Source organism: Homo sapiens, chromosome 14, assembly GCF_000001405.40.
Source record: "Homo sapiens chromosome 14, GRCh38.p14 Primary Assembly".
NCBI lineage: Eukaryota > Metazoa > Chordata > Mammalia > Primates > Hominidae > Homo > Homo sapiens.
In genome coordinates this window covers 72,745,049-72,759,112 of record NC_000014.9, presented here as the reverse complement: position 1 = coordinate 72,759,112, position 14,064 = coordinate 72,745,049, and the positions used below count along the sequence as shown (strand labels likewise).

General features: G+C 45.5%; 1 protein-coding gene across 4 annotated transcripts in view; it reads left to right on the top strand.

The window, feature by feature from the left end:
- The window catches only part of DPF3 (double PHD fingers 3), a 285,068-nt gene that overhangs the window by 134,989 nt on the left and 136,015 nt on the right, over window positions 1-14,064 (top strand). For all 4 annotated transcript variants that reach the window (NM_001280542.3, NM_012074.5, NM_001280543.2 and 1 more), the window contains one exon: window positions 5,742-5,849. In NM_001280542.3, the coding sequence (NP_001267471.1) occupies window positions 5,742-5,849 (108 nt within the window). The remainder of the gene's footprint in view (window positions 1-5,741; window positions 5,850-14,064) is intronic.

Below are 14,064 nucleotides of genomic sequence, written 5' to 3'. Positions count from 1 at the left end.
AAAAATACATATGTATCTCCCAAATTTTTACTAAACTTGAACACAGAGCATACAAATAATGTTTTAATGTTCTTGCTACTAATTCTAATATCAGTTTCAGTTCTGGGTTGGTTTCAATTGATTGATTTTTCTCCTTATTATAAGTCATATTTTCCAGCTTCTTTACATGCCTTGTAATTTTGGGTTGGGTGCCTCACATTGTGAATTTTACCTTGCTGAATGCTGTAGATATATTTTATTCCTATAAATGTTCTTGAACATTGTTTTGGGACATATTTAAGTTATTTGAAAACAGTTTGATGTTTTCTTGTCTTGCTTTTAAGATTTGTTAGGTGGAGCCAGAGCAGTACTTAGTCTAGGGCTAAGTATTCCCTATTAGTGAGGCAAGATCTTTCTACTGTACTCTACCCAGTACCCCGGGAATCATACAGTTTTCCATATTGGCTGGTGGAAACAGACTATTTCCGCCCCCTTGTGCACACCGAGCGCTGTTACCTCTAATCTTTTTGGGTAGTTCTTTTCCCAGTCCTATCTAGTTTCCTCACAGGCATAAATGGATCAACGCTAAGCTGAATACTTGAAAGGGACCCTCTGGATCTCCACATTCTCTGTGCAGCTCTCTTTTGTTTACCCTTCAGTTCCTTGGGTTCTAGTCACTGTGGTCTCCTCAGACTCTTGGCATTTTCTCTTCAACTCAAACGTGGGGAATCTGCAGGTCTCCACCTGTATTCCTCCTCCTTGTGTTCCAGTCTGGAGACTCTCTTAAGGCTGTAAGCTGGGGCAATCACAGGGCTTATCTTGCTTGTTTTCAGTGTCTCAGGGATCACTGTCCTTCAATGCCTGATGTTCATTGTCTTCAAAACTGTTGTTGATTTTTTTCTTCCTCTCTTTTGGTTTTAGGTGGGAGCTAAATCTGGTCTTTATACTCCATTTTAGTCAGAAACGGATGTATGCTTTTTATTTTAATTTAATTTTACTTTATAATTGTGTAAAATATTTGCATTGTTCCAATGGTATATTATGAGAAAGTCTAACTGTATCTTCACTTTTACCCTGTTTCTTTTTCGTATAGGCAATTTCCTCTTCGTCCTTCTCTTTTTCTTGCTACTATTATTTTATTTTTGCTCTCTCTCTAGGTAATTTTTTTTAGCTTTTGGCTTATACCCCCATAAAAAAAAACATGCAAACACACCACACACATATATTTGTCTGAATATGTGTGTATCCCCATTTGTTAAATAAATGATAGTATGTTATATACATAACAGCCATCCTTTAGTATCCACTGGGAATTGGTTCTAGGACCCCAGAAGATACCAAAATCTGTGGGTACTCAAGTCCCTTATATAAAATGGCATAGTATTTGCATATAACCTACACACATTCTCCCATATTCCTTAAATCATTTCTAGATTGCTTATAATACCTAATACAATGTAAATGCTATGTAAATAGGTATTATATTGTATTTTTTTAAATTGTATTTTAAATTGTTGTATTGTCATTTTCTATTTGGAAACTTTGATCCTGTTACCCGGTTCTGAGCAGGGGTAGTCACTAACTCTTTCCTACAACTCTTATTCCTCTTTAGTTCCTCGGCTTCTTGGTTAGCTGCCCTTCAAACCCAAGCAGATATATGGGATGCAGGATTGGGATGTAGCTGTTTGCTGTTGGAACAGAGGGTGGACAAATTGGTATAACTTATAGGGAGATAGATTTTGATTCAAAATAAGGTCATGGTGAATCTCTTTATCACAGTAAGAGTTGGCCGACAGTGGGACACTGTGTCCTGTGACATAATAAATTCTCCATTGAAAGGAAGTTTCAGGGGCAGCTGTGGGTCCACCTCTCTGAGATCCTGCAGAGAGAGAGCCTTTCCCTGGGGGGCTTGAACTGCCACAGTTCAGCTCTGGATGGGGAAAGATGAAACTACTTCAGTTTTTTTCTTCCCCATTTCAATTGCTGTTCCTATCCCATATCATTCTTCTCCCCTCCCTCCCTCCCTCCCTCTCTCCCTTCCTCCCTTCCTTCCTTCCTTCCTTCCTCTCCCCCTTTCTCCCCCTCTGTCCCTCTCTCCCTCTCTCCCCTTCTTCCCCTCTTCTCTCCTCTCTCCCTCTCTCCCCTTCTCCCCCTCTTTCCCTCTCTCCCCCTCTTTCCCTCTCCCTTTCTCTTCTCTTCTCTTCTTTCTTTCTTTCTTTCTTTCTTTTTTTCTTTTCTTTCTTTCTTTCCTTCTTTCCTTCCTTTCTTTCTTTCTTTCTTTCTTTCTTTCTTTCTTTCTTTCTTTCTTTCTGTCTTTCTTTCTTTCACAGAATCTTGCTCTGTCATATAGGCTGGAGTGCAGTGGCATGACCTCAGCTCCTATAACCTCCACCTCCTGGGTTCAAGCAATTCTCCTGCCTCAGCCTCCCGAATAGCTGAGATTACAGGCATGCGCCACCATACTGGCTAATTTTTGTATTTTTGATAGAGATGAGGTTTCACCATGTTGGCCAGGCTGGTCTTGAACTCCTGGGCTTCAGTGATCTGCTGGCCTTGGCTTCCCAAAGTACTGGGATTACAGACGTCAGCCACTGTACCCGGCCACTCTTCCCTCTCTTTTCTCTCCCATTTCATCTTCTAAATTCTGAATAGCTCATGCTTTGTCTGTGAGAGATGCCCAGAACCCTCAGGATCCACCTGCTGAACTTGTGCAATGTGCATAACCAGCTGTATTTGTCTGGAGTCTGCTAACCATAAAGGCATCAAGCCTTTCAATGCCAGGTATTTCCATGGAGCCAGTTCTCCCAGCAAGTGTGTGAGTTTTTGATTGTGTGTGTGTGTCTTTGTGCATCACATTTGTGCTTACACATGGGCAGGAATGTTGTAGCTCGAGTTGCAGCTCAAAGTAACAGAAAAGTAGTTTGCTCAGTGGGGTATGTGAAGTGAGGGGTGGCAGTGGCCTTGGTTACCAGGGAGGACTGGTTTCCCCTCTTGTCTTTGGCCACTTGTTTCCCCTCCTTCATGTCCCCTCCCCAGCCCTAGGCTCACTCCCCAAGGTTAATTTCCCTGACAGCAGCTGTGACTCCATCCTCCTTCCCCACCTCCATCTACCACACATGCACATGCACGCACACATATGCACACACACACATGCTTTGAGTTATCTGCCTCCTGTTCTGAGATAAACAACATAAGTCTCATGGGGCCCTGCTCTTCCCTCTGTAAGTGGAACTCCAGGGCTGAACGTGTTTTTCCTATAAAGGAACCCTGGTGCCTGTCAGCCTGTTGAGGAGGGCAAGGAAGGGGCCAGGGAGCTCCAAGAGAGCTCTTGCGACCATTTGCTTGTTGTGATGAGGTGGATTCAAAGCAGACATCAAAAAGAAGCCTGTTTCCACCTTCATGGCTAAAGAACCAAGTGGCAGCATGGTGGATGGGGCAGGGGGTCTGTCATGTTGCATGAGTGTGGAGTCCAAGACTAGGTCAGCTAACTCATGACAATTAACAACTGACATTTGTCATCTTTGTGGATATAGAGAGCTTTCTCTTGAATATAAGCAAATCCCCATAACAGCCCCAGGAGGTAGGTATTAATGTTATCAATGCCCTTATCTTACAGGTGAGGCAATAGGCTCAGAAAGGTGTTAGGATGCTTCCCAGGACTCACGTGCTCTTCCTTTGCACTGCAGAGTGTCTCCAATCCAGCAGAGAAAGAATGGAACAAAAACAGCCCCTTCTTCTGGAGATTCAAACTAGTTGCTAAAATGAATTCTCCCAGAAGAATGGGTCTAAAGCTCCAAGCAGAGTGGCCTGGGGCTTCTCTGGTACCGCTGACCACCAAGCACAGTGACTGCTGTCTCAGGGAGGGTGTAGGACCTGGACAAGTGTGGACACTTTTGCACTCTTGCCACGTAGACCTTTGGAGGGTGCTGGTGGGGGCCAGCTCACTCTTACTTACCTGTGTTTGATTAGGTTGGAAGCACCGTAAAGCAGCCACTGGGGAACGAAGGAAACCTAAGGCCCAGAGATGGCCATGGTGGGAGAGGGGGTGCAGGGGGCTCTGGCCTCAGGCCTGGGCCTCCACTTCTGGAGTCCCTCTTGGATGCTTTGGATCTGGGTGGATGAGTCCCCTGGAGCCAGGAACAGCAGGGCCAATGGTCATTCAATTCTGACATTTCTGAGTCCAGGTCAGTTCTAGTTTCTAAGAACCAAAGGGGTGGGGTGGTCAGAACCTCCAACTTGTTCACAATCTTGTGACCTGTGGAGCAGCTGTGTGATTAAACATAAAGAGACCTGAGTATTTTGGTTCCTTTAATGCTGGGATAATTGACTTTGTTTTGGCCCCATCCCAATAAATGGGTAGAGTTGACTGGTAAAAATGAAAATGAATGAATGAGTATATAGCAATGAAAGTTACATAGATTTTCTCTGCAAAGGTGAAAAATGAAGCCAGTTTCCCTTCTTAACTTTTAAGGGCCCTAAAATGGAAGACGGCAGATGGGAATCAGGTGCTGATGTTTTCTGAATCCATGGTCCTAGGTGTGCACAGTGACACTTTTGTGGTAGGCCGCCTGCGTCCAACAGCTGCCATGTGCCACATTTACCTGCAGAAGACAGAGTTGTGATTTTAAAGGAAGCTGCAATATATTCATTCATTAATTCAATGAGTATTTAGTTTGGTTCTGCTCTGTGTCAGGCACAGTTCTGATTCTGGGGCTTCTGACAAGAACAAGACAAAAAAGTCCCTGTCTTCATTAGGCTTTTCTTCCTATTAGGGATTTGTTGGCTTGCTGGTTTATTATGGGGGGTATCAGACACTCTCTTCAGGACTACAAATCACCTAGCCAGTCTGAAAATTACCTAGCCAGTCTCAAATACCTGCCTCCTCACCCCTCAGCCTCTTCCCCGCCCCATTTCCCTGGGAATAGTCTGTGACCTGGCATGGAGAAGTCCCTGTTCCTCTAAGGCCCGTGGCTGCCACCAGAGCCACACACAATTGTTGTCGGGTGAGCAGGAAGGCTCCTCATGGTGCTTGGCATGACAGTGATGCTGTTGGTGTCAAAGGCCACACACACAGGGTGGCACGTAAGCCCAGCCCCTGGCCTCCTGCCTATTTTTTTTTTTTTGTAAGGCCCAGGCATGTAGGCGGGGATATAGAGGTGTGCGGGCTCTGCAGGTCATGTGGCCTGGTCACCAGAGTGGGTTTATGTTCTCATGGGGGCTACACAAGCCTCCATTTGCCTACAGTGAGCTGCCAGCAGCTGGGAGTGGGTGGGAGACGCCTTTGAGTAGATCTAGTGTTTTTGGTTCTGTCTCTTTGCGATGCTTCTCAACCCAGGCTGTCCATACAGTAGGCCAACTGACTGCTGCTCCGTTTTGAAGGGAACCTGCTTAACCTGGATCAGGATAGAGGGGCAGTGGATAGAGATCCACTGCTTTGGAGACACTGCAAAGGTCCTTCTTGTCTGAAGGTCCAGTTGGTGATCTCTCCAGGCAGGAGAGCAGAATTGGTTTTGGTGAAGGCAATGGCTCTCGTTGGCATGGGCTTGCTGAACAGCATGGTGGAGCTGACAGAGCCAGGGTCCTGGGGTCAGATGACCTAGATTCAGCCTTGCCACCACTAGCAATCAGCTTTGTGATGTTGACAAGTCACTTCTCTCTGGGCTTCAGCTTCCTCTCCTTGTGAATGACGGGGTTAGTCAGGGTAGTTTCCAAGGCCCCTTCCAGCCTGGAGCCTTTAATCTTTATATTGTCTCTGTCCACAGGCCTTGCCCCGGGCCAGCTGTATACATACCCTGCCCGCTGCTGGCGCAAGAAGAGACGATTGCACCCACCTGAAGATCCAAAACTGCGGCTGCTGGAGATAAAACCTGGTCAGTGCCCTCTGGAGCTTGGCTGGGTCTGTGATGGGAAAGGTGGGAGGACTGGGCTGGGCCCAGGACAAGGTTGGTTTGCTCCTTTGTCCATAGAGCTAAGTTTTCTGGGAGAGGGAACATGCCCACATCATGCTTAAGGGTGCACCTCTGTGCCTGCTGAGTAGAAACATGACCACGTGTCCACCTGAGCTTTTCTCCCCTCTGGGTGTCTCATGCCTTCCCTTTGCCACCCCAGGGAGGAAAGAAAGGCTGCACCCCAGCCCAGGTGCAGGATGAATTTCCCAACAGAACTGAAGGATGTGCAGCTCTTTCGGGTCATGTGATACTTTTCTTGTGGCCTCAAGTAAAGAAATCTTGGCCCAGTTTGTATGTTTCTAAGGAGAAGATAATACACCGTGGACCCTCTACCCCTTACCCTGTATGAGCTTTGGAGCATCTTACACAAAAAGGGGCCAATTCACTAAAAATTGCACTTACCTTGGATGAGGATGGAAGAGTTTGAGATTACAATTTACCCGTGTGATGCAGATTGCTCTGTGGCCACACAGAAGGAATTGGTGGCGTTATGTCTATACTAATCTAATATATATATGTTTTTGAGACAGAGTCTAGCTTTGTTGCCCAGGCTGGAGTGCAGTTGTGCAATCTCGGCTCACTGCAGACTCTGCCTCCCGAGTCCAAGTGATTCTCCTGCCTCAGCTTCCCGAGTAGCTGGGATTACAAATGTGCACCACCACTCCCAGCTAATTTTTGTGTTTTTAGTAGAGACAGTGTTTCACCATGTTGGCCAGGCCGGTCTTGAACTCTTGGCCTCAAGCGATCTGCCTGCCTTGGCTTCCCAAAGTGCTGGGATTATAGGCATGAGCCACCATGCCTGGCCTATGCTGATCTAATATTACACTTCTGACTATTTGGCTGTCTTCAGACCTGTGTCTGTGTTGCAGCAAGCCAAGTGATTACCCCAGGCCCTTAGCTTTAAACGCATCTTTGTTTTTGAGGGTGCCAGGCTGGGATGTGACTCAGGGTGGTAGGGACAGTGCTGTTCAGTGGTGCAAGTAGAGTTGACATACTTCCTCCCACTGTCACCACAGCATTGCAGACTGTCAAGCCTGGCTGCCTGGCAAAGGTACCTCACTCCTTCCTTGCAACACTGGTCCCTTAGGCTGACTCTGCTCTGCAAAAGCTCTACCTACAGTTCCAGGGTTACGACTGCTTTGATTGTTCGCTTCAATCCGTATTTCACTTAAATAGAAGTTTTATTTGTTAGGGGTGAGTGGGTGCCAGATTCTTCAATGTGCTCTCTCCCAAGTCTCCAGTGTCCTTATACCAATTTACAGACCCTTGCAAATACTCCAGGGTGATGACAAGGTTGTCCCAACCCCTGCCTTGTTGCAGGTTGTAGGAGATCAGGTTCTCCTAGACAGCATGATGCAATAGAAATATAATGCAAGCCATGTGTGTTGTTTTACTTTGTCTAGTGGTTACATTAAAAAAAGGAAAAAGAAACAGGGGAAATGAATTTCAATAATATATTCCATTTAACCCAACATATCAAAAACATCATTTCAGCATGTCATCGATATAAAATCATTTATGATCTTTTTTGATACTCTTTTTCAATTCCATTGTGTATTTTACACATCCCCACATCTCTTTTTGGACTAGCCACATTTCAAGCACTCAGTAGCCACAGGTGGCTAGTGGTGACCGTATTGATCAGTGTGGTTCTAGACCTACATTCAAAGTGCGGTCCTGGCCTGCAGCGGCAGCATCACCTGGAGCTTGTCAGACGTGCAGAAGCTTGGTCCTTGCTCCAGACCTGCTGCATCAGAACCTGCATTTTATCACGATCCCCTGGAGTGCATCCTCAGAATGCACGATGAAGTGTGAGAAATGCTGGTCTCGAAGACTTACAGGTAGCTAGGCTACATGTCACCCTGACATGACCATAAGTACCAAAAAAGCCTTATGTAATTTTTAAATTAAAAACTTCCAAAATTTATTTGACTTTGAGTAGGTAATACAGTTACATGTACAGTTTTTTTAATTTTATTTTTTAATTTTTGTTTAGAGGGTAGGGTCACGCTCTGTTGCCCAGTCTGGTGTGCAGTAGTTGCAATGAGCTCACTATAGCCTCCAACTCCTGAGCTCAAGCACTCCTTCCACCTTGGCCTCCTCAGTGTGTGGGGACTACAAGTGCATGCCACCATGTCTGGCTAATTTTGTCTTTTCTGTAGAGACAGGGTCTCACTATGCTACCCAGGCTAGTCTTAAACTCCTGGCTTCAGATAATCCTCCTGCCTCGGTCTCCCAGAGTGCTAAGATTACAGGCAGGAGCTACTGTGCCTGGCAGTCACATATTTTGACATTCAAAAGATAAAAGGATATACTGTATCATGAAAAATAAGACCCAGTCTCTCCAAAGGTAATCAGTGGTAGCAGGTTTTTTTTTTTTTTTTTTTTTTTTTTGAGATTCTTTCAAGAGATAATCCATGCATGCACCAGGAATTAAATCTATCTGACTTTCCCTCCTCTTTTTACACAGCACAACCACTTTGGATTTTGCACTTTTCAATTAAAAATGTGCCTTAGATATTGTCCACAGCAAAATATAAAGTTTCTTCATTTCGTTTTTGTAATTACATAATATTCCATTGTATGAATTTGTCTAACCGGGCTGTTCTCAATTTTTGTTTCTAAATTTTCCAATTTAACCAGTGAGTGATGCAATGAATATTTTGCATGTATATATGAGGACGTCTCATATGTAAGTTGTCAATTTAAAGGGTTTTATTATAAGTGCTTGACATGTTTTAAATTATTAGTCTTTATTCTTAACATTTCTATAAAAAGTCTTGGTTAAGAACAATTTATATCAGACTAATTAGGTCTTCTTTTATAGAAGCAAAGACTTTTAGCACTATACGATACCTTAGATATCACTAACTCTGATTCTTTATTTTATTGGAGTCTAGACAGTTTAAGAAACTTGTTCAAAGTCATACAGCAATTTTTGTGGGTCCAGCAGAGAATCTAGGTTGCCTGATTTCCCTGTTCAATACTTTTTCTGCTTCCTCATACTATTGATAGGTATACTAACTTAAAGAAACTTTAGCCAGGCTTCTTCTCTTAAAAACTTTATTTTATGATCATAAAACTAATATATAAATTATTAAAATAACCAAGAGATAGTTGGAATTCCTTTAGTCATAAACATTGGAAGCTCAAGTCAAACTATCTTAAGCAGAAAAAGGAAAGTTGGCTCATGTACCAGTAAATCCCAGGGTTTATCTGGCTTCAGGCATAGCTACATCCAGGTGCTCAAGCATAGTGAGCGTAGTGAGGGCTACATGTCTCTCTTTACCTCTCTCTCTCTTTCTTACTTTTTTTTCTTTTCTTTTCTTTTTTTTTTTTAAACAGGGTCTCACTCTGTCACCCTGGCTGCAGTGGCACGATCACAGCTCACTGCAGCCTCAACTTCCCCAGATGGCAGCAGGCAAATAGCTTGTGTAGAGAAACTCTTGTTTTTAAAACCATCAGATCTTGTGAGACCCATTCACTAGAATGAGAACAGCATGGGAAAGACCCACCTCCATGATTCAGTCATCTCCCACCGGGTCCTTCCCACAACGTGGGAATTAGGGGAGCTACAAGATGAGATTTGCCTGGGGACACAGAGCCAAGCCATATCATTCTGCCCTTGCCCCCTCCCAAATCTCATATCTTCACATTTCAAAACCAATCATGCCTTCCTAACCGTCTTCCAAAGTCTCAACTCGTTTCAGCATTAACTCAGAAGTCCACAGTCCAAAGTCTCATCCAAGACAAGGCAAGTCCTTTTGCTTATGAACCTGTAAAATCAGAAGCAAGTTAGTTACTTCCTAGATACAATGGGGGTACAGGCACTGGGTAAATACAGCCATTCCAAGTGGGAGAGATTGGCCAAAACAAAGGGGCTACAGGCCCCATGCAAGTTCAAAATCCAGCATGGCAGTCAAATCTTAAAACTCCAAAATGATCTCCTTTGACTCCATGTCTCATATCCAGGTCATGCTGATGCAAGAGGTGAGTTCCCATGATCTTGGGCAACTCCACCCCTGTGGCTTTGCAGAGTATAGCCTTTCTCCTGGCTGCTTTCATGGGCTGGCATTGAGTGTCTGCGGCTTTTCCAGGTGCAAGGTGCAAGCCGTCAGTGGATCTACCATTCTGGGATCTGGAAGATGGTGGCCCTCTTCTCACAGCTCCGCTAGGTGGTGCCCCAGGTGGGACTCTGTGTGGGGGCTCCCACCCGACATTTCCCTTTCACACTGCCTAGCAGAGGTTCTCCATGAGGACCTCACCCCTACAGAAAACTTCTGCCTGGGTATCCAGGCATTTCCATACATCTTCTGAAATCTAGGCAGAGGTTTCCAAACTTCAGTTCTTGACTTCTGTGTACTCACAGGCTCAACACCACATGGAATTTGTCAAGGCTTGAGGCTTGCACCCTCTGAAGCCACAGCCTGAGCTCTATGTTGGCCCCTTTCAGCCACAGCTGGAGCAGCTGGGACACAGGACACCAAGTCCCTAGGCTGCACATAACAGAAGGACCCTGAGCCTGGCTCACACAACCATTTCTTTCTCCTAAACCTCCAGGCCTGTGATGGGAGGGGCTGCCGTGAAGACCCTTGACATGCCCTGGAGACATTTTCCCCTTTGTCTTGGGGATTAATATTGGGCTCCTCATTACTTATGCAAATTTCTGTAGCCAGCTTGAATTTCTCCTCAGAAAATGGATTTTTTTTTTCTATTTCATTGTCAGGCTGCAAATTTTCCAAACTGTTATGCTCTGCTTCCCTTATAAAACTGAATGCCTTTAACAGCACCCAAGTCACTTCTTGAATGCTTTGCTGCTTAGAAATTTTTTCCACCAGATACCCTAAATCATCTCTCTCAAGTTCAACATTCCACAAATCTCTAGGGCAGGGGCAAAATGCCCCCATTCTCTTTGGTAAAATGTAACAAGAGTCACCTTTGCTCTAGTTCCCAACAAATTTTTCATCTCCATCTGGGACCACCCTAACCTGGACTTTATTGTCCATATCACTATCAGCATTTGGGGCAAAGTCATTCAACAAGTCTCTAGGAAGTTCCAAACTTTCCCACATTTCGCTGTCTTCTTCTGAGCCGTCCAAACTTTTCCAACCTCTGCCTGTTACCCAGTTGCAAAGTTGCTTCCATATTTTCGGGTATCTTTTCAGCAATGCCCCACTCTACTGGTACCAATTTACTGCATTAGTCTGTTTTCACACTGCTGATAAACACATACTTGAGACTGGGCAATTTACAAAAGAAACTGGTTTATTGGACTTACAGTTCCACATGGCTGGGGAGACAAAGAGGAGCAAGCCACATCTTACATGGATGGCAGGAGTCAAAGAGAGAGCTTGTGCAGAGAAATTCTTGTTTTTAAAACCATCAGATCTCGTGAGACCCATTCACTATCATAAGAACAGCATGGGAAAGACCCTCCCCCATGATTTGATCATCTCCCACTGGGTCCCTCCCACGTGGGAATTATGGGAGCTACAAGATGAGATTTGGATGGGGACACAGAGCCAAACCATATCACCTAGCTATTTTTTTTTTTTTTTTTGTAGAGACGGGGGTCTCACTATGTTGCCCAGCCTGGTTGCAAACTCCTGGCCTCAAGCAATCCTCCTGCCTCGGGCCTCCCAAAATGCTGGGATTATAGGGATCAGCCATCACACCCAGCCAGTCTCTCTGTACCTTTAACACTCTCTTCTCCTCATAGGGTAAGTGAGGGGGCTGCCAGCAGCTCCAGTCTCAGCACATACCACACCCAGCAGAAAGGCAGTCACCCTCAACAGCTGTGGCAGAGAAGACCTAGGAAGGACAGATTAGCTGGCTGGGGTTATTACCCCCCCACAACCAATTGCTGCCACCCAGGGGATGGGACACTCTGGTTAATCATCATCATCATAACCAGAGTCCGAAGAGCATGCTGTAGTTCATGCAGCATTTTCTTTCATGTCAGCTCCTTGGTCCCTACCATAGCCCTGGAAGGTAGAGAGGGAAGGAAGAGGTAAGAGGGTTGTGAGCCCATTTTAGAGGTGAGAGAAATCAGACTGTGGACAGAGCCAAGAAGAATTTGTTGTGCTGCTCATGTATCTGAGGAGCCCATGTTGGTGGGACTGAGGCAGGCAGCTATTTCTTGAGTGTTTGTGCCTTCTGCCTAAAAACATTTACTTTGGGCACACGGGCCTGCCAGTGTTTATGCCTGGCCTGTGGGTGAACGTGGAGCAGCTGAGTTCACAGCCTGCTTTGGCCATGCCCCGTTGTCGGGCCTGCCGTAACATGTGAGGGGAAGGGAAAGGAAGAACCTAGGGCTAGCGGTTTGCCATAGCCAAGTCCCCACCTGCACATGGCGTCTTGTATCTGTGATCATTTGAGAGGCTTCTTCAGCCTCTGCCCAAGCATGAGGCAGAAGTGGCTAGACCAGGTTTCCAGTGGTGAAAGTCCACCCCAGGGATGGGCAGGGTCCCGGGGAAGGACCCCATCTGCAGAGACAGGTGCTGGCCTTTGCAATTATCCGCCCTCGGGGGAAAAGTTGGGTTCCCCCAAGGCAGGCTTATTCCTCCACACCAGCCCCCAGATGCTGAGAAGCAATGAACAGCCGGGGCTGGAATGCGTGACTGTCACATGGCAGAGCACCTTCTCAGAGGAACTTGTTCCCCTCTTTGGGTAAACAGACCTACTACTAGGCCTGCTAAAAACACAGAAACAACCCCCACAAACCCTAGGGCAGATGCTTGTCATTTCCCAATCCTCTTCTGAGTCTGAACAGCCGGGGCTGCACCTGGCTCCCAGAATGTACCACCATGCCAGCCTGCAGCTGCGGGTGGTGAATGAAGAGGCCGTCGGAGTGCCCTGGAGTCAGTGGTAACGAGCCTCAGCCTGGTACCTCCAAGCAGCCAGGGCCCATCTAGAGAATGAGAAACAGCGCAGCCAAAGAAATGTACCCACTGTCTTCCCAGAGGTGATGCAAGTTTGCATTTGAATTTTTTGCACAGGCCAAAATTTCAGAAGAGTGACTTCATCCAGGGCCTTGACTAGCACATATGGTTTTGTTTGTGCAAAAGTGGAGGGTGGTGCCCCCTGGGGGGTGGACGTTTACAAAACGTATGATGCCCTTTCTGGTGGGTTAGTAGAGCACGAGCTAGATCTCAGCCCCTCTTCTGTGCACCTGGTGGGGGTCCCTTTGAGGGCACAACCTGCCCAACTTCCAGAGGCTCTGCCCTCATCATTCATAAAATGCAGTTTCCACTTGAGAGGACTCCTCCCTTTTTTGGGGGTATGTCCTCCCTCAGGAGGGTTAACAGGGCTAACTCGGACAGTATTTTAAAATAACTATCTCTTATTTTTATTCCATTTGATTTGGGCTCAAGGAGAGCTCAGTTTTTTGGCTGATACTTCGCGCGTGACTCAGGATAGAGTCATTGGCCAGAGTCTCTGGAGAATTTGCTGCAAATTCCTAGGAGGTGAGGATCATTAGCTGGGTGGACTGAGGCTGACCTTCCCAAGGAGAGGGGAGCAGGTGAGGGAAACAGAGATGGAGATGGAGGGAGAGGCTCTTTTTTACACATTGCAACGGAATTGGTATGACCTTTTTGAGGTACAATGAATAGTACCTACCAGTATTTAAAACACACATGCTCTTTGACCTAGACATTCTATTGCTAGGAACTTATTCTATAAATGAATATATGCATATAATATATATTGGGTATATATTTTTTATTGTGGCATGGTTTGTAATAACAACAAAGAATGGAAACTTCCAGAAGATCCATTGATGAGGACTAGTTAAATATATAGTACTTGTATATTCTATGAATGGAATATTATTTTGTCCTTTAAAAGAATGAGTAAAAAAAATATGGAGAGATGTTAAAGATATATTGCTAAGTGGCGAAAAAAAACAAATTGCACAACAAAAAGCAAATTGTACAACATTGTATATAATCCTCTGGGCAAAACTTGCTGAAGAACGATAATTTGTCCATCCTGGGTTGCATCTCTTTAAATTTATGGAAACTGGAAGGCTGAGTTATGTTGGAAAGAACCCAACCAACCAACCCACCCACCCATGGTGCCCCTCCACACCCACCCCCTGAGGATGCCTGTCTTTTCCTCATCTTCCCTCCCAGCC